The sequence below is a fragment of the Homo sapiens genome, chromosome 9 (assembly GCF_000001405.40).
Source record: "Homo sapiens chromosome 9, GRCh38.p14 Primary Assembly".
NCBI classification, from domain to species: domain Eukaryota; kingdom Metazoa; phylum Chordata; class Mammalia; order Primates; family Hominidae; genus Homo; species Homo sapiens.
Window position 1 is genome coordinate 104,675,340 of NC_000009.12, and position 25,376 is coordinate 104,700,715.

General features: G+C 36.9%; 1 protein-coding gene and 1 long non-coding RNA gene across 2 annotated transcripts in view; one reads left to right on the forward strand and one right to left on the reverse strand.

Moving 5' to 3' along the window:
- The window catches only part of LOC107987105 (uncharacterized), a 217,429-nt gene that overhangs the window by 145,129 nt on the left and 46,924 nt on the right, over window positions 1–25,376 (reverse strand). Inside the window, exon 2 of the long non-coding RNA XR_007061705.1 lies at window positions 15,796–15,868. This is a non-coding gene — a long non-coding RNA (uncharacterized LOC107987105). The remainder of the gene's footprint in view (window positions 1–15,795; window positions 15,869–25,376) is intronic.
- Window positions 19,179–20,123, forward strand: OR13D1 (olfactory receptor family 13 subfamily D member 1). Its single transcript, NM_001004484.2, has one exon. The coding sequence runs from the start codon at window positions 19,179–19,181 to the stop codon at window positions 20,121–20,123; it is 945 nt and encodes a 314-aa protein (NP_001004484.2).

Consider the following 25,376-nt stretch of genomic DNA (forward strand, 5'->3'; position numbering starts at 1 on the left):
CACTTTGGAATATATATATCGCAAAATATATTTGTGTGTATATATATGCACACACATTCTGGCATTCACTATAAGTTTCTGCTTTTTTTCTGATTTGATTACTGATAGGAACCCTAAGCTGGTAATTAAAGGAGTATTCTTTATACATTTTTAGTCTACTTACCTTTCCTCCAGGTTTCACTGATCTTTCTCGTTTTTTATAAGCTGCTTGTTACATTTTGTATGTGCTGGACTTGGCTACTCCTGGTTTTAGGGCTCTGATTTATTTCACTTTAAAGGTAAGTTTAGAATGTCTTGCAAAATGCTGGCTACTTATTACTCAGTGCTCTCTCACTCTTGCTCTCTCTCTCCCCACTGCAATAAAGCTCTTTTTATCCCCCAAATCTAACTGCTTGGACTCCTGTCAGTGTACTTGCAATAATTCATAGGTTTTTTTGTTCTGTGTCTTGCGGTTGGAAATCTGGCAAGCTCTGAACTTCTCTTAAAATTCATTTGCTTATCTATTAAATGGGGACAATGAAAACAAAATGTCTGTTTTTGGTGATAGGGAGGGTAATAATATTTACTGCTGTAAAGAGTCACATCTCATTTGGAGTACAAGCTGAAAATCAGTTTCTAACTTCACACTGACATACTATGTTCTGTGTTACATCATTTGACATTCTTTCGAAAATTCAGTGCACATTTATTTACTAATGTAATAACCGATGAAATGACACACCACACTTGCAAAACAAGAAGTTAAAACTATCCTACCATACTGTCTAGTGGCAAGATTTTCCCAGGGGATTCAAGCAAGACACTTTAAATATGACATACTGGTAAAAATTCTTGACTTGTGACTACAGCTATTTCTGACAAAATTGTTATAAAGGTTAAACTCTATATAAGAAACATTTTAGGCCAGGCACAGTGGCTCACACCTGTAATCCCAGCACTTTGAGAGGCAGAGGTGGGCAGATTGTTTGAGGTCAGGAGTTCGAGACCAGCCTGGCCAACACAGCAAAACCCCATCTCTACTAAAAATACAAAAAATTAGCCAGGCATGGTGGCGTGCACCTGTCGTCCCAGCTACTCGGGAGGCTGAGGCAGGAGAATCACTTGAACCCGGGAGGCGGAGGTTGCAGTGAGCTGAGTTCGTACCACTGCGCTCCAGCCTGGGTGACAGACCAAGACTCTGTCTCAAAAAAACAGACAAACAAACAAACAAAAAACAGTTTAAATATCTTATAATTATAAAAATAGATAAATAAATAAATAAATAATATTCAGACTTTGAAATACCAACACAATTAGGTGATTGGGTAACTCTCACAGACATGTAAATGAGAATAGACAAATGTGTCATTGAGGAAGAAGCTAGTTTAAGTTTTCTTCTTTTGAGAAAATGAGCATATATACAGGTATATGAATAAAAACTTTTTAAAACAATTTCAGAAAAATTTGAGAGAGAACACATCTGCATTGAAATTTGGAATAAACTTATGGATTAAGAGACATGTCAATGAGGTGAAATGGAATGAGTGCCATATATTTAAGGTTTTTTTTCTAATATGCTATCTCCATACTATCTGCAAATTCTTTCAACTAGACTTCTTATGTAAAGCATATGTAGCCACCCTCAGAATCTTTAGTACCTGTTTAAAAACATATATCCTGCCAATTTTAACAGCTAAGAGGAAGGGATACTCTTGTAGGAACCTGATTCAAGAGAGAAATTTTTTGATGCTATTAGTAATATCCCCCATTCGCTTTAACTCCAGAGGCCATGAAGAGGAAATTTTCTGTCAGATCTTATCTGCTTTTCAATTCATTAACAGTTTTCTTATTTTTTTGACAGGAGTATAAGCAGAGAACAAATAATTAATTTTTAATTGTAGCATTTTGTGTGACACTGATTAGAAAGTTCAAATATCTAAAGTTATAAAATAAACAAAATGACAAAAGGAGAATAATTTTTTTCACGTCATCACCAAGAGGTTATACTTTATTAAAGCAGTCTTTGCAGGGTTCCCTGAAAGAGATCTTTCCAATATTAAAATACATATGTACGCATTTACATTGACAGAAAACTTGTCAAGTTGAATGTATGATGCAAGACAGACTCTAGTGGAGGCAAGACTAGTAAGTGGATAAAAAGAACTGTGTCATAAATTTAAACCTTCTTTAGGAAAAAAGTTTTATTTAAAAACAAAAACTTTTTAATAGGTTGCTTACAACTCCAACAAGGGAGCAAAGCAAAATAAAATGTAATGGTCCCTCAGAAACGTAGTTTTCTATACTGAATGCTTGTCTGGATTTCAGTTGCTATTCCTGGGGGATGGGAAGGAAAGAAAAGCATCAGAAGATTTACCAAATTTAAACTCTAAGTAATAAGGAGAAAGTCATTAACGAAATTCTTTCAGATGATATGTTTTCAGTTAAAGTTCGTCTGTTTTTAGTTACTTCGGAGGGAACTAGATTCCCCAGGGCATGCCAGACTGTATAAACCTTAGCAAAAGGACCTTAGTTATTCCTACAGCATTTATTCTGCAGGAATTAATTTCACATTCAATATACATTGCATCATGAAGATACCTTTGATAATGTTATTTCTCTGCATCTACATGATAACAGCCTATATATCGTATAGTATCACTGTTCTTAAAACCACTAAGTTACATTAGTATTCGCATTTCTCAGGATCTATTTTAATATGTAACTTTAATAAAAACTAAATGACTGAAGCTCAACCCAAAGAAACTAAATTATAACCTGGATGAAAGAAATAATTTTCTTTCTCTGTGTTACTCATATTCTTACACAGATGTGAGATTAAAAGAACAATGATTAAATTATGCAACACTATTAATTAGAGGCTATCTAAACTAATAGTAGCTAAATTATAATAATGATTCCGTTGATCAAGGCTGCAGTAAGCCATGATCATGCCACTGCACTCCAGCCAGGGCGACAGGGTGAGACTCTGTCTCAAAAAAATAAATAAAATAAAAGTGAGAGGAGGCAGGACAACATGGCCAACTAGAAGCCTCCACCAATTGTCTTCCCTGCAGGAACACCAAATTGCACAACTATCCACACAATAAAAAGCACATTCATAAGAACCAAAACAGCTGCGCAATCATAGCACCTGGTTGTAACTTCATATCACTAAAAGAGGCAAGGAAGAGGGTAGAAAATATAGCCCTGAATCTCTGATAACATGCCTCCTTCATGAACCCATAATGATCATCAGATCACTAGAAGCTACTGTGAACAACGATATGCCAATAAACTGAAAAACCTAGAAGAAACTGATAAATTCCTAGACATATACAACCTACCAAGATTAAACCATAAAGAAATCCAAAACTTCAACAGACCTATAACAAGTAATGAGACTGAAGCCAAAATAATAATAATTTTTTCTTTCCCAGCAATGAAAATCCCAGGACCCAATGTCTTCACTGCTGAATTTTACCAAACATTTAAAGAACTAATGCCAATCCTACTCAAACTATTCAAAAAAAAGCTTCCAAACTGATTCTATAAGCCCAGTGTTACCATGATTCCAGAACCAGATAAAGACACATCAAAAAAAAAAAAGAAAAAGAAAAAGAAAACTACAGGACAATATCCCTAATGAACATTGATGCAAAAATCCTCAACAAAATCCTAGCAAGCCAAATTCAACAACACATTAAAAAGTTCATTATGACCACGTGAGATTTATCCTAGGGATGCAAAGATGGTTCAACATATGCAAATTAATCAATGTGATACATCATATCAACAAAATGAAGGGCAAAAACCATAGGATAATTTCAAATGATGCTAAAAAACCATTTTATAAAATTCAACATCTCTTCATGATACAAACTCTCAAAAACTCGGTATAGAAGGAACATACCTCAACATAACAAAAGCCATATACAACAGACCCACAGATGGTATCTTACTGAATGGAAAAAAACTGAAAGCCTTTCCTATTATATCTGGAACATGAAAACAATGCCCACTTTCACCACTGTTATTTAACATAGTACTGGAAATCCTAGCTAGAGCAATCAGACAACAGGAAGAAATAAAGGGCATTCAAACTGGAAATGAAAAGTCAAATTATCCTTGGAGATGATATGATTTTATATTTGGAAAAACCTAAAGACTCCAGCAAAAAACTATTAAAACTGAGAAGCAAATTCAGTAAGCTGCAGGATAGAAAATCAACATACAAAAATTAGTAGCATTTCTATATGCCAGCAGCGAACAAGCTGAAAAAGAAATCGAGATAGTAATCCCATTTACAACAGCTACATATAAGATAAAATACCTAGGAATAAACTTAACCAAGGAAGTGAAAGATATCTACAATGAAAACTATAAAATATTGATAAAAGAAGTTAAAGAGGACACACAAAAAAATGGAAAGATATTCCATGTTCATGGATTGGAAGAATCAATACTATTAAAATGTTCACACTACCCAAAGCAATCTACAGATTCAATGCAATCCTTATCAAAATACTAATGGCATTCTTCAAAAAATAGAAAAAATAATCCTAAAACTTATATGGAACCACAAAATACCCAGAATAGTCAAAGCTATCCCAAGAAAAAAGAACAAAACTGGAGGAATCACATTACCTGACTTCAAATCATAATACAGAGCTGTAGTAACCAAAACAGCATGGTGCTGGCATAAAAACAGACACACAGACCGATGGAACATTCTAGAGAACCCAGAAACAAATTCATACATCTAAAGAGAACTCATTTCCAACAAACGTGCCAAGAACAACAGTGGAGAAAGGACACTCTCTTCAATAAATGGTGCTAGGAAAACCGGATAGCCATATGCAGAAGAATGCACCTAGAACCCTATCTCTCATCATATACAAAAATCAAATCAAAATGGATTAAAGACTTAAATCTAAGACATCAGGCTATGAAACTACTACAAGAAAACATTGGGGAAACTCTCCAGGACATAGGATTTGGCAAACATTTCTTGAGTAATACCCCACAACCACAGACAATAAAAGCAAATATAAACAAATGAGATCACATCAAGTTTAAAAGCTTCTGCACTGCAGAGGAAACAACAACGCAAAGCGACAACCCACAGAATGGGAGAAAATATTTGCAAACTACCCATCTGACAAGGGATTAATAACCAGATATACAAGGAGCTCAAATAACTCTATAGAAAAAAAGTCTAGTAATCCAATTAAAAATTGAGCAAAAAATCTGACTAGACATTTCTCAAAAGAAGACATACAAATGGCAAAGGGGTATATGAAAAGGTGCTCAATATCACTGATCATCAGAGACATGCAAATCAAAACTACAATATCCCCTTACCCCAGTTAAAATGACTTATATCTAAAACACAGGCAATAACAAATGCTAGCGAGGATATGGAGAAAGAGGAACCCTCATACGATATTGGTGGGGATGTAAATTAGTACAACTACTTTAGAGAACAGTTTGGAAGTTCCTCAAAAAACTAAAAATAGAGCTATCGTGTGATCTAGCAATCCCACTGCTAGGTATATAACCAAAAGAAAGGAAAGCAGTATATTGAAGAGATATCTGCACTCCCATGTTTATTGCAACTCTATTCAAAATAGCCAAAATTTTGAAGCAACCTAAATGTCCACTAAAGATAAATGGATAAAGAAAATGTGGCACATACGCACAATGGAGTACTATTGAGCCATAAAAAATAATGAGATCCTGTCATTTGCACAACATGGATGGAAATGGAGGTTATTATGTTAAGTGAAGTAAGCTAGACACAGAAAGACAAACCACATGTTCTCACTTATTTGTGGGAGCTAAAAATTAAAACAATTGAATTCAAGGAAGTAGAGAGTAGAACGATGGTTACCAGAGGCTGGGAAGCATAAAGTGAGGGAGAACTAAGGATGGTTGATCTGCAGAAAAATATAGTTAGATAGAATAAATAAAATCTAGAATCTGATAGCACAAGAGGATGACTACAATCAACAGTAATTTATCGTACTTTTAAAATAACTAAAAGGATATAATTGGATTGTTTGCAACACAAAGAAAAGATAAATACTTGAGGTGACGGATACCTCATTTGCCCTAGTGTGACTACTACACATTGTATGCTTGCATCAAAATATCTCAAGCGCCCTATAAATATATACACTTACTGTATTCATAAAAATTAATAATTAAAAAAGAAATTTAATGGTATTTTTAAAATAAAATAAAAGTGAGTGATTTTAATGTATACTTCTCTCTAATGGGTTAAAAATGTGAAAATAAAAAATTTAAATTCTACAATGATTAAAAGTCATCTGAAGAAGATAAAAATATATAATATGTAATATCCATCGTTTTATATTCAAACAACTGGGGAATATATATTTATAAAACTGACTCCTTGGGTCAGAAAGCAAGACTTAATACATATTGAACAATTAATAGCACTCAACCACATTTTCTTATCACAATGAAATACAATCAGAAATCAATTAAAAAACTCAAAATATATTTTATATTTGGAAATTTTGAAACACATTTCTAAGTAAATCATTGATTAGTAAAAAATAACAATGGAAATTATAAAACATTTACAACTTTAGGACAACAAAATTACCATCAAAATTAGTTGATTCAGTTTAACTGTTTCGAAGAAAATTTATAGGCTTAAACATAAAAAAAGTTGAAAGTTTATGCACTTAGCATCCAATTCAAGCTCTAGAAAAAAAAATAAAGAATGGAAAAAACACAAAGACAAGGAATTTTGAACCAGTTGTTTTAAAAATTGCCAGGTCCAAACAATTTCCCTAGAAAATTCTAATAAATGTTCAAGAGTATAAAAAATCTCTAAATTTGTTGCAGAAAATAGAAAAACAGGAAGATCTTCTGGAACCAATCTTTCGAAGCAAGCATGTGAAACAAAAACTGGACAATTAAAAAAGGGAAAAAATACGCCACTCTACTACATAGATACAAAAACCTTAAATAAAATATTAGCAAATGTAATCCAGCAATGTACAAAATAATAATACCTAATGTCCAAGTAAAATATATATCAGGGATGCAAGAAAATGTTAACATTAGAAAATATGTTAATTTAATTTATAACAATATCAATTAAAGGAGAAAAAAGCATGTCTATTTTACTAAATGCAGAAAATTTCATAAAATTCAACATGCATTTATAATGACAATATGAGACATTACATACTTTCTAAATAGTCAGATACTAAATTATAGCATCATAAGTATTGACAAGAATATGGAGAAATCAAGTTCAATTCATTGCCAGTGAACATATGAATTAATATTTTGAAGAGCAAATAAGATCAGGTAAAGTTGATCCCACAATTCCACTTACAAGTATGGGGCAAAAGAAATGAGGAAGAAAAAGCTAGTCTATGCCACCATCTAGTGGCCTTAGAATATAATAGAAGTTGTGATTTCTTCAGCCGCGCTTACAAAGGAGTCCTGAAAGTACCTATGTAAGGATGGACCAAAAACTTACAAACATATACAGTATATATGCAGTTACTGCCCTCACTAACTGTTGGGCCCACATTGGCTCCACCCATCCTGCTTCCTTCTGAAGATTTGCATGAACCTAACCACGTGACACAACCAAGTAGAAATATCTCAGACAGAGTGCTTCCTATGTCCACCTCATATAATTTTTTTCACCACCCTTCAAACAATACCTATTGTTTCATGAGTCTTAAAAAGATACTACTCCAAATTGACCAGACTAGATTGGTAATAACTTAAAAGTTGGTCAATACTAAGTATTGGCAAGAATATGATGCAAAGTGAAGCCTCATACACTTCTATTTAGGGTACAAATTTGGAAACTTAGCAAAGATGAATATATAACCCAAAATCAAACAAAGGAAACAAATGAACAAAAAAGCTTTTAAAATTAACAAAAATTACAAGAAAGATGAATGTATATACTGACTGACCCAGAAAACCTCTCCTTGGTATATTCTCTAGAGCAGTGGCTCTTGATCCCAAAGGACACCCAGGCATAGAACTCAAGGGGCCTAGTAACTTGGATGGGAAAAAAACTGCATCTTTATTTTTATCAACCTCAATTGAACCTTAGTAGTTCCTGCTGCCAGACAGTTTTACTTATGAGTTCACTAAATTGTCAAGGAACAGTCATCATCTTATTCAAGTTATTTAGCAAAAAAAAAAAAAAAAAAAAAAAAAATTGAGAAACCTGCCTGATCCATTTATTTTTATTTCATATTCAGATGAGAACAGTACAAGCAGATAAAGCTTTTTGGCTTATTTCACTTATAACATCGATGTGGAAATAATAAATAAAATATAAAATGGAATCTTCCAATAATAGCATTTGGAACAACTCTCCTGCAGCTAACTGTACACTCTAGGAAAAATATGTTTTAAATTTCTTTTTGGAGGTGATAATTTCAGTTGCTGCTTACCTCGGAGAACTGTTCTTTTCACAAAGAACAATAAAAATAATAGTAGATAAAGAGTGCAATAGAAAACTTTTTTAGGCAATGGATTGTTTATGGCATAGATTGTGGTAATGGTTTCCTGGGTGTATGCTTATCTTCAAACTCATTAAATTGCATACATTAAATATGTGTAACTTTTTGTTATGTCAATTGTATCTCAATAGAATGTTTTTTAAGTCCTTGCACTCATAGAGCTTTCATTGAAATAACTGAATATATACTCTTTTTTTTTTTTTTGAGGCAGAGTCTCGTTCTGTCCCCCAGGCTGGAATGCAGTGGCGCGATCTCGGCTCACTGCAACCTCTGCCTTCTGGGTTCAGGCAATTCTCTTGCCTCAGCCTCCCAAGTAGCTGGAATTACAGGCACGCAACACCACGCCCAGCTAATTTTTTGTATCTTTAGTAGAGACGGGGCTTCACCATGTTGGCCAGGCTGGTCTCAAACTCCTGACCTCATGATCCGCCTGCCTCAGCCTCCCAAAGTGCTGGGATTACAGGTGTGAGCCACCGCACCCGGCCTACATACTCTTGAAGGGTGACATTTATATAAAGATATATTCATTTCTTCACTAGACTGACAATATCTCTAAAACAAGAATAGTATCTTGTTAATTTTGTATCCCCAATAAACACCTAGACTATTACAGGTAATAATATAGGTAAAAATGTTTTTTTACCTTACAGGGAAAAAGAAACTTCCTGAAATCAAGATCTTGAAAAGATATTTGCATGCCAGTGTCATTCAGCATTGTTCACAATAGTCTAAATATGGAAACAACCTAAATGTCCAGCAACAGATGTTCGGATAAAGAAAACATGTGTACATGTGATATAATGGAATATTATTCAGCCTTTAAAAAGAAGGAAATCCACCTGGCCAACATGGCAAAACCCCGTCTCTACTAAAAACACAAAAATTAGCCAGGCGTGGTGGCAGGCGCCTGTAACCCCAGCCACTCTGGAGGCTGAGGTGGGAGAATCACTTGAACCTGGGAGGCGAAGGTTGCAGTGAGCCAAGATCACGCCATTGCACTCCAGCCTGGGCAACAAGAGGGTGACTCCATCTCAAAAAAAAAAAGAAGAAGGAAATCCTGCCATATACAATAACATGGCCGAACCTTGGTAACACTATACTAAGTAAAGTAAGCCAGTCACTGCAAGACAAACACTGTAGGATTACACTTATATCAACTTATATCAACTACCAAAAAGAACCAAATTCATAGAAGCAGAAAAGAGAATGATGGTTTCCAGGGGCTAGGTGGGGGGCAGACAGAAATGAAGAGTTACTATTCAACAAATATAAAAGTTTCAATTATAAAAGATTAATATCTTCTAGATATCTGTTGTACAACATAGTGCTCATAGTTAACGATGCTGTTATTGCATGCTTAAAAATTTGTTAAGAGAGTACATCTCATATTATCATGTTAAATGCTCTTACCACAACAAACACACAAATATATACTTACACACATACATACATTTTCCTGAAGTGGCCAAAAGCATCCAGAAACTGGATTGGAGCAGTCGATATTTGCCAGAAAAAATGGCATGGATGATTTACTTTTGCTGATTTTAAGATAAGAGAAGGACCTAGTCAGCGTCATTTTACAGGGTAACTAAAATCCAGGTAGAAAACATCAGTCTTACTGGCCTGAAGGAACAGGACAGAGTTCATGAAGGTCATGGAGATTGAAAATCTGGAAGATAAAGCCACAGAAAATAGGCAGACAGACCAACGAGAGCCTCAAATTTTTGTGTTTACTATACCCAAATACCGGCTGATCTCTACACTATACGTAAGTGATGTTAAGCCTAAAAGACCTGAACAAAGATTTCAATTGCTGCCCACCTCAGGGAAGACAAGTTTGAAAATGGAGTCCTGCTGAATTACAGTCTGCTAAAAGAATATATCAATATTGAGTCAAATTCCACTTTCCAAGAATAACCTGAGAAATATTTTTACTTCAACATGCTTTTCTGAAATATTGCCAGTGCCTGCCTCAAGAGGTAGAGTCTTTTCATCTTTGTATATTCCTACAACATTGAGTGGACATCAAGTTTATTTGGCATCAAAATTTAGCAAAGGGCCTTATATATATGTGTTCTCCAAATATTAAATGAATTGTGAATGTTCTTCGAGTTGAGGCTTACACAATTGCAGAGGTGCTTACAAAAATGTAAGTGTGGTTGAGTTTAAAAACACAAAGACCTGGAAGTAAAACAGCAGTATCTGGAGCCAGAAAGTTGACAGAGGATGAGTGGAGTTGGAGAAGTCTCTTGGGAAACCACGGCAGCACTGTGCTGTCCTTTGATGCTGTGAGTTCACAGCTTTGGTTATTACACCCTATGTGTGCTTTGCCTCACTAAGAAAAAATGTACATCACACTCATTTTTCATTTTACAAAAGGGCATTATGAGAACTTCTGACAGTGGAAATGGGCCTTAACTCTTACGGTAGAGAAAGTGAAAATAATCTCTGAGCCTAGTCCTCCAATATTGTTATTACCCTCAAAAACCTAAAGAAAAGTGAAAGGTTGCTGAGAATCCAGCAGAAAACTATTTCATTTCCACTTGTTATATGTAGGGGTTTTTTTTCCTGTTTTCCATTTTAAAATATTATGAATTTGTTAAAAATGTCTGAAAAATTAACATGGACAAATATATACAATGTAGTATGCACAATAAACATCAGGTAATAAATCAAGAAATACAGTGTACTCTCAAGCATGTAAACACAGTATATGCATAGAGGTATATTAATATTTACATCTGTAATTATGAGTGATTTTCTTTCCTCCTTTAGATTTTTTGGAATTTCTCAAATTTTCTATTCTGAGTATGTATTATTTGTATAATCAGGGAAGTAGCAATTCAAAAAAGAAAGAAAATTACTGCTTAATAAGTTAGGTATGGCCAGGTGCGGTGGCTCACGTCTGTAATCCCAGCACTTTAGGAGGCTGAGGTGAGCGGATCATGAGGTCAAGAGTTCAAGACCAGCCTGGCCAACATAGTGAAACCCTGTCTCTACTAAAAATACAAAAAATTAGCCTGGCATGGTGGTGGACACCTGTAATCCCAGCTACTCAGGAGGCTGAGGCAGGAGAATCGCTTGAACCCAGGAAGCGGAGGTTGCAGTGAGTAGGGATTGCGCCACTGCACTCCAGCCTGGGCGACAGTGGGAGACTCTGTCTCAAAAATAATAAGTTAGGTATAATCAGATCTTTGAGATATTAGCCCTAATGTATGTAAAAGTCACGATCTTCCACCTTATTTAAAGATTCAACTTTAAATCACTTCTGGGATTACAGTCTCTCAGAAGAAAACCAAGGAGGATTTAAATTGGCTACCAGAGCCACTGGCAGGTCCTCTGGAAATATTGGGGCTCAGAGGAAGGAAAGTACTTATGTGACACATTAATTTACTATTGGATATAAAATTATGGCTGAAAGCTTTATTGTTTATCTCTCCCATGCCACTTTTAAGAGTTGTGATTGTGTTCTAGAGTATGGCTATAGCTCAAAGAGAGAGAGCTGAGACGTCAACTGATTGAGAAGGAGCAGCTACAGTGACTTCAGTATGTGGACACAAGAAGTTAGCAAAACACTGATGAAAAAGAGGGAGACTGTTTTGGAAGAAACTGAAATCCCAATAAGTCATGCTATCCATTGTAAGTGGAGAAGATGAGGACCCTATACAGATGTTTGAAATGGGAACATTAGGGCAAAGCTGGGAAGAAGTATTTTCAGAAAGAAAGAGGTAAATGGATGAAGTATACGTCTTCCAGCTAAGATGCAGTACTTCTCCTTATCAGTAGCCAAAGGGTAATATGGAGTACATGGACTGGGGCACAGTAGGCTTATAGAGATTCAAGGGCACTGCACTGTGACATAGCCCTAAAGACAGCGAGGGCATGAAGACAGCAGGGTGAATCAATCCCAGCACTGAGCCCATGGCTAACTGAAACTTCCAGCAACAAACACATATTTTTGGTAACCAAACAGAAACGTGGATGAAAAAACCCAGGATAATTATCTAACCTATGCGAGAGGGAGAGAAGAGGCCTTGTTCTAACTAGAGCACTGCTGCTTATTATTAGCTCCTTTGGGGCTCAGAAGGGCTCATTTATTCGGACAAGCACTGGAGCTCTAGTACCAGGGATGTTGGCTATTGTGAAGAATAAGTTATTATATAAACAGCAGGATAATCTAGCTGGAGTAGGAGATAGGATACAATAAATACTTAGTGAATTCAATTTCCTTCTGAGGGCGCAGTCTGTTTTGAGAGTTTCTTTGGTTAAAATGAGGGAATCTGGGTGAGTACATATGCTTTACAAGCAAAATACTACTCTTTCTTATTGGTAAACATGGGGAGAAGGGTGAGCACTTCAGAAACATATTTCTCAAGCAGAGTTTGATTTTCATCTATAGGTGATATCCAATGCTGAGCATCAATCTAAAGACCAGACCGACCCTTTGGAAAGAGATGTACAAAAAAACAGAGAGCCAGGGGCACTGGAACTTTACCCATTTTTGGCAGAAATGAAACTGAGGTAATAATCATTGCTATTACTCCCCTACCCCTTCCCACCATGGGTATCTCCTCTGCCTTCTCTTTTTACTGTGTGATACAGTTGGATGTCTTATCATCCTACCCACACTGCCCACCTTAGCCACATTCTAAGTGGTGAGCTCTAGAATCCTAATCTAAGAACTGGGACTGTGTTAGTGTGTCTTCTCAGAGTGAATATATTTGTCAAGTTGATCTCTTGAAGTCAGAATATTCAATGGCATTAAGTCAGTTTATGTCATAAATCAACAGAAAGCCTTTCTCCAATTTTCTTTCCAATAACTATTCTCACTTGATCTTGGGTATTAGTGAAAATTGGACCAAAATTCTTCAAACTCTCACCACTGTTTCCTTCAAAGGAGAATTTAAAATATTATGTATTTTTATAATCAGAAAATATACATTCTTTTCAAAAAGTTAGAAAATGAGGCAAAATGAAGAACAGTAATAATCCCTCCAAGAACCACATTCCAGAAAAAAAAAAAAAACTGGTTAAGATTTCAATGTAACTTCTTTCAGTCACATATATACAAAACTGTGATCATTTATATGCTTATGAGACAGTCTTCTTTTTTTTTTTTTTTTGAGATGGAGTCTCGCTCTGTCGCCCAGGCTATAGTGCAGTGGCAAGATCTTGGCTCACTGCAACCACCACCTTCCGGGTTCAAGCGATTCTTCTGCTTCACCCTCCCAAGTAGCTGGGACTACAGGCACGTGCCACTATGCCTGGCTAATTTTTGTATTTTTAGTAGAGATGGGGTTTCACCATATTGGCCAGGCTGGTCTCGAACTCCTGACCTTGTGATCCGCCTGCCTCAACCTCCCAAAGTGCTGGGATTACAGGCGTGAGCCACCGCGCCCGGCCGAGACATTCTTTTTAACACAGTATTATATCATGGGGATTTTCCTTTTCATTTACTATTCTCCAAGATTACAACTTTCATAGTTGTTTAACATATGAGAGGATGTATTCTTATGTGTATATTATAACCTACCAACCCCACAAACCAGAATTCCAGCACCTGGAGGTAAAAAAAAAAAAAAAAAAAAAGCATAGCAACCTTTTAAACCATGATTAAACTTGAAACATAATAGGACATATGGATCCAACCCATGGATATGCTATTCCATTTGGTTGGCTCATTCTAGTGAAAAATTGTTGATAATAGTGCTAACACTATCTTTGCAAACTTTAAGAAAAAACACTGCTACAGTTTCACCATTTTGAATTATGCTGCCCAATGATTTGAGAGTAATAATCTCCTTTATCATCTTAATTCTCGATCTTCCTGTATCTAGATTACTCAGAGGTCTGACCAAGAGTGAATGTTGTATTTTACCAAATGCACTTTAGCGTCTTGTTAGAAGACCATGTGTTGGGTTTTTTGCTTATTTGTTTAGTATGTTGATAGATTTTCAAATATTAATTTGGAATTTTATTAATCCATGAAATAAATTGTATCACTTTAGTATATACAGTTTGGATGTACTTTAATTATGGTTATACCATATACATTCATAAATAAGATTATCTACAGTTTTCGTCTATCTTTGAAAGTTTGGGAAAACAAGGCTATTTTTGCTTGATAAAATGTTTCTACAAAATGTTCTATAACTTTTTCACATTGAAACATATTATACAGCACAGAAATTTTTTCTTGAAAGTGTGAAATAACTATTGTAAGCATTCTGCATCCAGTGCAAAATCCAGTCTTGATTTTGAAAGTCAAGATCTCACAATAGGATCTCTATTACCTACCATAGTATACATGGCATAGTTTCTGTTGAATAAATGTAGAATTCTGTAAGACAGATATGCACAGTTTTATGACAGTATATAAAAAGGGCATCCTCCTCACAATAGTAGGTGAGAAAGCTTTCCTAGAAAAGGTAATAGATAAGAACAATCCTTCCAGTTTAAGAAGACGCCACACACAAATGCATAATGATGAAAATGCAAGCTGGGCGCAGTGGCTCAATGCCTGTAATCCCAGCACTTTGGGAGGCCGAGGCGGGCGGATCACCTGAGGTCAGGAGTTCGAGACCAGCCTGACCAACATGGTGAAACCCCAACTCTACTAAAAATACAAAAATTAGCTGGGTGTGGAGGCAGGAGGCTATAATCTCAGCTACTCGGGAGGCTGAGGCAGGAAAATCACTTGAACCCAGGAGGCAGAGGTTGCAGTGGGCCAAGATCACACCATTGCACTCCAGCCTGGGTGACAAAGTGAGACTCTGTCTCAAAAAAAAAAAGAACAAAAAAAAAAAAAAAGAAAGAAAATGCAGTATTATGGGGAGACTGAGCAAAACTCATCATGGTCAGTGCAGAGCATTTGGGACATCAGTAGTGGCTCCAGAGTTAGAGAGAACCAGAGTTGACAATGTGATTAGAGGATGAACTAGAGGACTTTCGTTGAAGCTGCAGAGCAAGCACATATTTTCCTTTAAGTTGTATTTCTCTATTAGGATGTCTTTTGTGAGGAGACTGATGGCGATCATGGGGAAACAAAGTCCTCCTAATAATTCCTCCTTAACACAGTCATGGGAGGAGACATGGTATGAATTGGAGAAAGATACCTAATAGGTTAGGATAGGCCTGTGTAATGGGTTGATTCAGTGTCTTTGGCGAAGTTACCGTTTCCCTTTCTCTTGTTTTGATCTAAATCCTGAAATATTTCACTAACACATATAAGCTGAAAAGAATAAATTAAAATTTAAAATAAATTCTGAAACATGGACTTCTTCACCTGGGATCTTTTCTGAATAGAAAGAAAGACAGCCATTCTTCTTCCTTCATCTTTGTATCCTCGACATCCCCACCTATAGGGTAAACACATAAAGCATACCCTTAGAATGACACTGTAATGACAGAGGCACCCGAATGTGTGTTCTGATCTAGGGAATCTAGGAGTAGCCAACCCAGAGATTTGTTCTTTCTCTGTGATAAACAGCCTGTCCCAAACATGGGCCGTGCAGGGAATTGGGTCCCTAAGCTTTTGGTTGGATGAAGGTTGCCAGGTGGAGGTTGTTAAGGAGAGGATTAAGTGAAAATGCCATATAAAACTGCATGATTTTACAGGTAGTTGTGGTTTTTCTGTCCAGCCCACCACCCCTGGACTCTCTCCCTGTATGTAATTCCCTAATAAACCCCATGTCTCATTTGCTGACTCTGGGTCTCTTGGCCTTTTGCACCTGGTGCCGCCCCTATTGAGATTAATAGGGGTTTAGCACAACACCATCGCCCAAGATACAAGTGGTAAGTTTAGTGTTCTTTCTATGCTAGCACAAATTTGTTTCTTCTCCACCTCTTCTTTCCTTCCACTTTCCTCTACTTCAAAACAGCTATGCTCTATCTAATTAAAACGGCTACCGTAACTGCCCACTTTGTGGGAACAAATCCATATGCCAATGTAGATAGAGACAGGAAAAAGAAGTGCAAGACAAAGGGAATATTTTCCAACATACCAACACATTGGTATCATCTAATTTTTTTTAATCTCCTCCCAAATCATGGTGTAGGTAGTACTCTCTAAGAGGAAGACAAAGGATATGGAAAGGGAATGGAGAAACTTTTTCCCTTCATCTCCCTGGAGCCAGTACTCCACTACTCCCTGGAGCCACTACTGATGCCCCAAATGGTCTGCAAAGACCATGCTGAGTTTCTTCTAGTCTCCCCATAATACTACATTTTTCATCATTATGCAACAGGGAGCTAGGAGGGCTTGCCATCTATGACTACCCAGAGAGTAAGCATTCATCCTGTCTTCAAAGTCTCTGGATATGAAAAGGCCAAAGCAAAAGTGTGGTTGTAGGGTCAGAATAAGATCAGTAAGAAATATTCTCATTCCACAAGGAGAGCCCAGCATAGATATAGTTCTTGTGGTAATAGTGTAACAATGTATGAGAAACAGCCCTTTATATAAGACATCTTAACACAATACTTGGACATATCAATGTAATGAATATGAAACGAATGGAGCACATTGAGTTTTCAAAGATGTGGCACTAATGTTATAAATGGGAGTAGTTTCTCAAAAGACTCTATGCTGCATTTAGATTTGCAGAGTGAGGGCAGGGGCTGTGGTATTTTTGATATGTTACTGATAAAGGCAAAGGTGGGCTGGGCATGGTGGCTCACACCTGTAATCCCAGCACTTTGGGAGGCTGAGGAGGGTGGATCACCTGAGGTCAGGGATTCAAGACCAGCCTGGCCAACATGGTGAAATCCCATCTCTACTAAAAATACAAAAATTAGCTGGGTGTGGTGGTATGCGCCTGTAATCCCAACTACTTGGGAGGCTGAAGCAGGAGAACCACTTGCACCTGGGAGGCGGAGGTTGCAGTGAGCTGAGATTACACCACTGCACTCCAACCTGGGCAACAGAGTGAGACTCTGTCTCAAAAGAAAAACAAAGAAAGAAAAGAAAAAGGCAAAGGTGATGAAAAGGACTTTTGTATCATTATTCTTGATCATGCTTTTTTTCATAGCTGTGAAATCGCCTTCTACACATAGAAAACTGAGCAGACCAGGCAGGGTGGCTCATGCCTGTAATCCTAGCAGTTTGGGAGGCCAAGGTGGGAGGATCACTTGAGGCCAGGAGTTCGACACCAGCCTGGCCAATATGATATGAACCCCGTCTCTACTAAAAATACAAAAATTAGCCAGGTGTAGTGGAGCATGCCAGTAATCTCAGCTACTCGGGAGGCTGAGGCAGGAGAATCGCTTGAATGTGGGAGGTGGAGGTTGCAGTGAGCTGAGATCGCGCCATTGCACTCCAGCCCAAGCAACAGAGCAAGATTCCGTCTTAAAAAAAAAAAAAAAAAAAAAAAACAGCGAGAGAAAAGAAAAGAAAACTGAGCAGACCACAATCAAAAGCTACAGGAAAAAGTAAGTGGTCCAGCCTTCAGAGTTCTCCATCACATCACATATGATCAGAATCACAAGTAAATGATGTTTGCTGTCTCACTGTACCCCAACAGAAGATACATTTTTGTAATAGTCTTCTCTTGCGTGGAATCTGTGTAGTAACCACTGAGAGAGAGTAGTGTATGGTGGGTAAAAGGGCTGATTCTATAGCCAGATGGCTAGATATTGAATTCTGGCTTTAGTATTTACTATCTGTATGACCTTGAGAAAGTTACTTAAACTTTTCTTTGTCTCTGTTTCCTACTTTGTAAAATGGCAGTAATACTACACTTAAGAAGAGAGAATCCCAGGGCCTGGAAAAAAAGCTGTACATGCTGGGACCTAGACTCCTTAATCTCTGGAAGCTTCTAGAACAGTCCTCCAATGATTCTCAGACTCCTAACAGGTTTTTGAAAGAAGTGCAATGAAATATCCCACTGAGAACAAAAATGTTCACAGTCTGTCAAGTGTGGTTTCAAACTTTAAACCTTTTACCTTTAAAAAGCTAAATCTACTTTTCCCTTTTAAGATTGGTAGATCTAAATATTATACTATAATTCATAAAATGCATGTGTATAAAAATACATTTAATATTATATCTTGTATAAGGTAAATATAATTATATTACATATATGCATACACACACACACACACACATATGCCATGTTGGAACCATTAGGTTCTAGGCACCTAATATTTTATCTAATTCTAACTATACTCTAAGAAATAATTATTGCTTTTTCCAAGCTTACTATGAACTATCTGCAACTCAGAAAAATAAACAACTTACCAAAGCTACATCCAGGTTAAATGATATGTCACTGGCAGTCTATAAAATCTTTTAAATAGAGGCCAGCTTCATCAAAAAAACAGCTTTAAGTTCAAAATCTCTTTCTACATTTGAAAGCAGCATGTTCCTAAACTTTATTTGACACTTCCCAGAATAATTCTGGCAGTATTGGTAGCTTTGAATGTGCTGCTGTGTAGTCCTAAGATATATTGGGTTTCTCAATGTCTCAATTTTCATAATCAATAAAACTAGTACAATATCCATACTGTTTTGCTTACTGAGAGTATTCTAAGAATCAAACACAATATCGGAAGCAAATTTGTATTGAAAATTTGTAGATGTACAGATTTACAGATTTTGATGTATCAAACATTTCAATTTACCTGAATCATGTCCTTTTCTATACTACCCAGCAGGCAGGTGACCTAGAACACATGGAGACAAGAAATTACTCTGCCATGACTGAATTCTTTCTGGTGGGGCTTTCCCAATATCCAGAGCTCCAGCTTTTTCTGTTCCTGCTCTGCCTCATCATGTACATGATAATCCTCCTGGGAAATAGCCTCCTCATTATCATCACCATCTTGGATTCTCGCCTCCATACTCCCATGTATTTCTTTCTTGGAAACCTCTCATTCTTGGACATCTGTTACACATCCTCATCCATTCCTCCAATGCTTATTATATTTATGTCTGAGAGAAAATCCATCTCCTTCATTGGCTGTGCTCTGCAGATGGTTGTGTCCCTTGGCTTGGGCTCCACTGAGTGTGTCCTCCTGGCTGTGATGGCCTATGACCACTATGTGGCCATCTGCAACCCACTGAGGTACTCCATCATCATGAACGGAGTGCTGTATGTGCAAATGGCTGCATGGTCCTGGATCATAGGCTGTCTGACCTCCCTATTGCAAACAGTTCTGACAATGATGTTGCCTTTCTGTGGGAATAATGTCATTGATCATATTACCTGTGAAATTTTGGCCCTTCTAAAACTTGTTTGTTCAGATATCACCATCAATGTGCTTATCATGACAGTGACAAATATTGTTTCACTGGTGATTCTTCTACTGTTAATTTTCATCTCCTATGTGTTTATTCTCTCTTCCATCCTGAGAATTAATTGTGCTGAGGGAAGAAAGAAAGCCTTCTCTACCTGTTCAGCGCACTCGATTGTGGTCATCTTATTCTACGGTTCAGCCCTTTTTATGTACATGAAACCCAAGTCAAAGAACACTAATACATCTGATGAGATTATTGGGCTGTCTTATGGAGTGGTAAGCCCAATGTTAAATCCCATCATCTATAGCCTCAGGAATAAAGAGGTCAAAGAGGCTGTAAAGAAAGTCCTGAGCAGACATCTGCATTTATTGAAAATGTGAAAAACCTTGGGCATGCGATATCCTCAATGGGGCAAGAGAGCTTGTCTTTTGTATTTAGATACTGCAAAACCTACTGTCACGAGAGCTTGTGTGTTTGCAAAACCAACTATTAGATTCCCATTCTTTTCAACGTAGAATTTTCATGCTCATGTAACCTTCTTAATAGTGCCTTGTCTGCTGGGTTTGTAGCTGTAAGCAGTTCTGCAAACTGGCCCTATAAAAATATTGATGCTGTCCATTAAAATGAATCTCTCTCTCTCACTCAGTCTCTCTCTCTGTCTGTCTCTCTTTCTTCTCTCTCCTGCCATGTGTGTGTCTCTCTCTACTCCTCTGATTTTGTCCTCTCTCTCTATTCTGCTACTCTCTCTCCTCTCCTCCGTATATTTTCTTTCTCTTCCTTTCTTTTCTGTTGTCTCCTTTCTCAGTCACTTTGAAGTGGATATATAGTTGTTGTGCAGCATCCCTGCACAATATTGCCACCCAATTGACAGATCTGCATAATATATATTAATAGAAAGATGTATATTTTTCTTTTAATGAACCAAAGTCCCCCACTCTCAGTCTATGTTGTACATGGTGGGGCTGACCCAAACCTCTGAAAATAAAGATAAGCATGGAAGAGGTCTTGGCAAAAAAAAAAAAAAAAAAGAAAGAAAGAAAGAAAGAAAGAAAGAAAGAAAGAAAGAAAGAAAGAAAGAAAGAAAGGATGTCTAATTCCTCTAGTCATAGTGATTGGTATAGTGCAGGATGTGACCCGAGCCATACTAATTAGACTCCATCCCAGGAATGCTGCCTTTGTCAGAAAGACACACTGTTTTTTGAAATGGTGTCTAAACTGGTAGAATGTTAACTCAGAATTCCTACTGGCAACCATTGCCAATATGTGAGGACAGCATGAGAATGAAAGCAGAGCTGAGATACAGAGTGTGCTTGATGGTGTCACTTTAACTCTTGAACGCAGCTGTAGCTAAAGCCAGATTCACCGTTGCAGATTTTATTTATGAGTCAAATTAGCATTTTATGAAAAACTAATTTGACCTGGATTTTACCACATACGACAAAATAAATCCTAATATATTCCTTTGTCCTATCTTCCTCTCCATCCTCTTACATTTTAAGGCAATAATAATAATAACAAGGTATGTAATCTGAGAGGTTCCAAGTTCTCCAGCCTGTAGGAGTTCCCTTTCTCATTAATAACTAAATTACAATAATCTAACCTCTATTCTGCATTACTTCAGGCATTTCAGTCATCTCCCCAATTATTTCTATGGAGCATTTACGTTTCTAATTTTTTGTTCTCATATTTTTCATCAAATTGATTTATGGACTTCTTACCATTTTTCTCTGTGCTTCAATCAATATATTGGTACTTGAAATAACTGCATTTTGCTTTTCTACATAATGTTTTTTAGTTTAATAAACATTGTCATTTGGTGGATTATGGTAGATTACTGTGTTATATATAAATACATATAAGTAGTAATAAGCCAAATTAAGGCAGAATTCCCTTAAGGGTGTTGCATATCTGATTTTGTCCACTCTGGGGACCAGAATCATAACTGTAATAGATTAGACAGGGCTCACTTAATTCAGTTATACAGAGATATAATTCCTAGATTATATGGAACTCAGAATTTGACAAAAACAAAAATAACTAATCTATTAATCTACAGGATAAAAATTTTTAAAGCCTGGTATGGTGGTGCATGCCTGTAATCCAAGCTGCTTTGGAGGCTGAAGTGGGAAGACTGCTTGAGCCCAGGAGTTCGAAACCAGCCTGGGCAACATAATGAGATCCCATCTCAAAAAAGTGAGAGAGAGATTTTAAAATGTTTTAAATTCCTTACCATGGTATACCAGACCCATATAATCTTAACCCCACCTAGTTTTACCACTTCATTTCCTACCACCTAACGATATTCATTAGACTCTCATTACACTCTCATTTCACTACCTTCTTGTTTCTCAAATATGCCAAAGCCTTTGCCTTTATTATTCCTTCTATCTGGGACACTCCTCCCCTCGATCTTCCAAGGGTTCCCTCTGTCATTTCAAATAAGTTTTTGCATAAATGTCTAATATATTCGTCTTATAAAAGTTGTAACATGTTTTTTTTTCCACAGCATTTCACTCCTTTAAAATGCTGTATGTATTTATCTTTTCTATGGATTTATTGTCTATTTTCTACAGGAAAAGTTCCTTGTAAGCAGGTACTTCTCCTTATCTATTGCTATCTTTTCCCAGTGTGTAGATCAATGAGAGGCAAATAATAGCTAATACATAGGCATTGGATGTGAAAAAGCATTCTGTAAAGCAATATTATGAACTTACTTTGGAGTATATTCATACATAAATGTATGCTTCCTTCTGACTAAATAACTAGCAGGAACCCTAAGACCAGTAGTTAAAGGACTATATTCTATACATTCCCAGTACTATCTTCTTTCCACACACTTTTCAATCCAGGTTCTGTTGATTCTCTTATATGTTGACATGAGCTTCTCATTCCATAATGTCTGTGCTGAAATCAGTCACTACATCTTGCAGGAATTTGATTTGTCTGGAGAAAGTCATTTGTCATTGCATTTGAAAATACAAAGACAATTTTAATATATGCTTTATTAATTGATTTTTGTGAAGGTTTGTTTCAGAGTGTACTGCAAATTACTGCATACATGTTGTCCATTGCTATGGAAGTACTTTTGTTTCATTTTTCCCTTCTCTTTTTAAAACGTCAGAATAAATTTCTGTCTCAAAATTTATCTAAGTGCTTGTTATCTTTTTTGCAGACTCTATCATAGTCAATGTTTTCTATTGTGCTGTTGGTTGAAGAGAGGATAGTAATATAATTCTACTGCTGTACAGAGTCCCTTCTTGATTAAGGTCCAGGCAGTAAGTTTCCTATTTTACACTAACATACTACTTCTTGGGAAACTCCATTTGGCATACCCTCTGATGGAAATAATTCAGTGAAATACCAATTATTAATGTAGTAACTGCTTGAAAAAGTAGAAGATAGTATTACCAGACTCTAAAAACATTTACAAATGTAACATCCTTGAAAGAATATTTGATTTTTGATTCCAAATATCTCTTACACATAATGTTAAAAAGGTTAAACTCGACATAACACAAATTTTGGGCCAGGCGCAGTGGCTCATACCTGTAATCCCAGTACTTTGGGAGGCCGAGGCGGGCAGACCACGAGGTCAGGAAATTGAGACCATCCTGGCTAACACGGTGAAACCCCGTGTCTACTAAAAATACAAAAAATTAGCCGGGCGTGTTGACACAAGCCTGTAGTCCCAGCTACTCAGGAGGCTGAGGCAGGAGAATCGCTTGAACCTGGGAGGCGGAGGTTGCAGTGAGCCAAGATCGTGCCACCGCAATCCAGCCTGGGCGACAAAGCAGAGTTGAAAGAAAGAAGGAAGGAAAGAAAGGAAAGGAAAGGGGAGGGGAGGGGAGGGGAGGGGAGGGGAGGGGAGGGGAGGGGAGGGGAGGGAAGGGGAGGGAAGGGAAGGGGGGAAGAAAAGAAAGAAAGAGAGAGAAAGGAAGGAAAGAAAAGAAAAAGCTCAAATGTCTCAAAACTATAAATAATTCTTAATTGGGAGAAATATACTCACACCTTAAAAAACAAATCAACAGTACCAGAGACGAAGACATTTAAGTGAAAATTTTTAAATGTATCAATAAGGAGGGCTACTTTTATAAGGGAAAACGCATATACTATTGTCAAGAATAAAAACTTTTTTCAGACTGATCATTTTAGAAGAAATTTGAAAAAGAATATACTTGTAAAAAAAGACAACTGAGGCCGGGTGCAATGGCTCATGCCTGTAATCCCAGCACTTTGGGAGGCTGAGATGGGCGGATCACGAGGTCAGGAGTTTGAGACCAGCTTGGCCAACATGGTGAAACCCCGTCTCTACTAAAAATACAAAAATTAGCGGGGCATGGTGGCACGTGCCTGTAATCCCAGAAACTTCGGAGGCTGAGACGGGAGAATCGCTTGAACCCAGGAGGCGGAGGTTGCAGTGAGCCGAGATCGTGCCATTGCACTCCAGCCTGGGTGACAGAGCAAGACTCCGTCTCAAAAAAAAAAAAAAACTGTAGTAATTTTAGGTTGTCATGTTCAGAGTGAATAGTATTATCTCTAGTTTTATTTTCCCCATAAACTAGATTCTTTCAACTAGAGTTTTTATGGAAGCATAGGTAATTCCCATAATGCATAAAAATACTTTAAATAATACATGATAAATACTACATAAAATACTTTTAAAATAATGTATATCGTATTATTTTAAAACTGAGGCTAAGAATAATGGGCACCCTTGTAAAATCCTAACTTGAGAGAGAAAGTAATGCTAGCTTTATTAATACCTCTCATCACTTATTTCTAGAGGCTGTTGTATGGAACTCAGTCATGGGAAGAGGATCCTCCTTCTCCATCTAACAATCTACCTGAATGGCATCACTTGTGTGCCTTACTGTTTAAAAAGCATAAAAATCTAAATTTACAGTATTAAAAAAATGACATAGGGAGGAGGGTAAGCTTCTTTTATATTACCTGTAGATCTTTATTAAACTGGACTTCATAAGTGTTTCTGATACATGAAATTTTTCTTGGCATGCCATAAATGGTTTTCCAAAGAAATTTAGGATGATCACTTCCAGTATGGCCGTGTAAGCTCCTAACTCTAATGCATATAACAGTATAATGGATATGGATATGGACAAAGTACATAAAACAAACATTAGTCAATGTAAAAAGCAGACAGATTCAGGATGGATTTGAAACTCAGAAAAAGGAAAATTATGAGTTGAGTTGGAGAAGAGCAAAGATCATCTGGTGGCTTGAGTTGGAGAAGAGCAAAGATCATCTGGTGGCTATCAAGCAAACCATCCAGAGGCAAAACTCCTTATCTGAAGAATTTAGAAGTAATTAGACTTCCCTATTATCTAAAGCAGGCATCTGGTACCAGGCTTCTTTCCCCCAAATTAATAAATAACTAGAATTTCTATACATCTCAGGAATGCATGCATGGCGAAACTCATTGTGCAAACTTTGCTGACATCAAGGCACAAAAATGCCTACAAATATAATCATTTATCATGACCTACAGGACTAATAAGGTCCAAATTGTCCTTAAACTCCTGCTTTAAGGTCCATACATACCTCTAAAGAAAAATCCACTACAGTGTGCTCAGTCCTCTCTTGCTGAGTCGCACTCAGACGCACCCAGAAGAGTC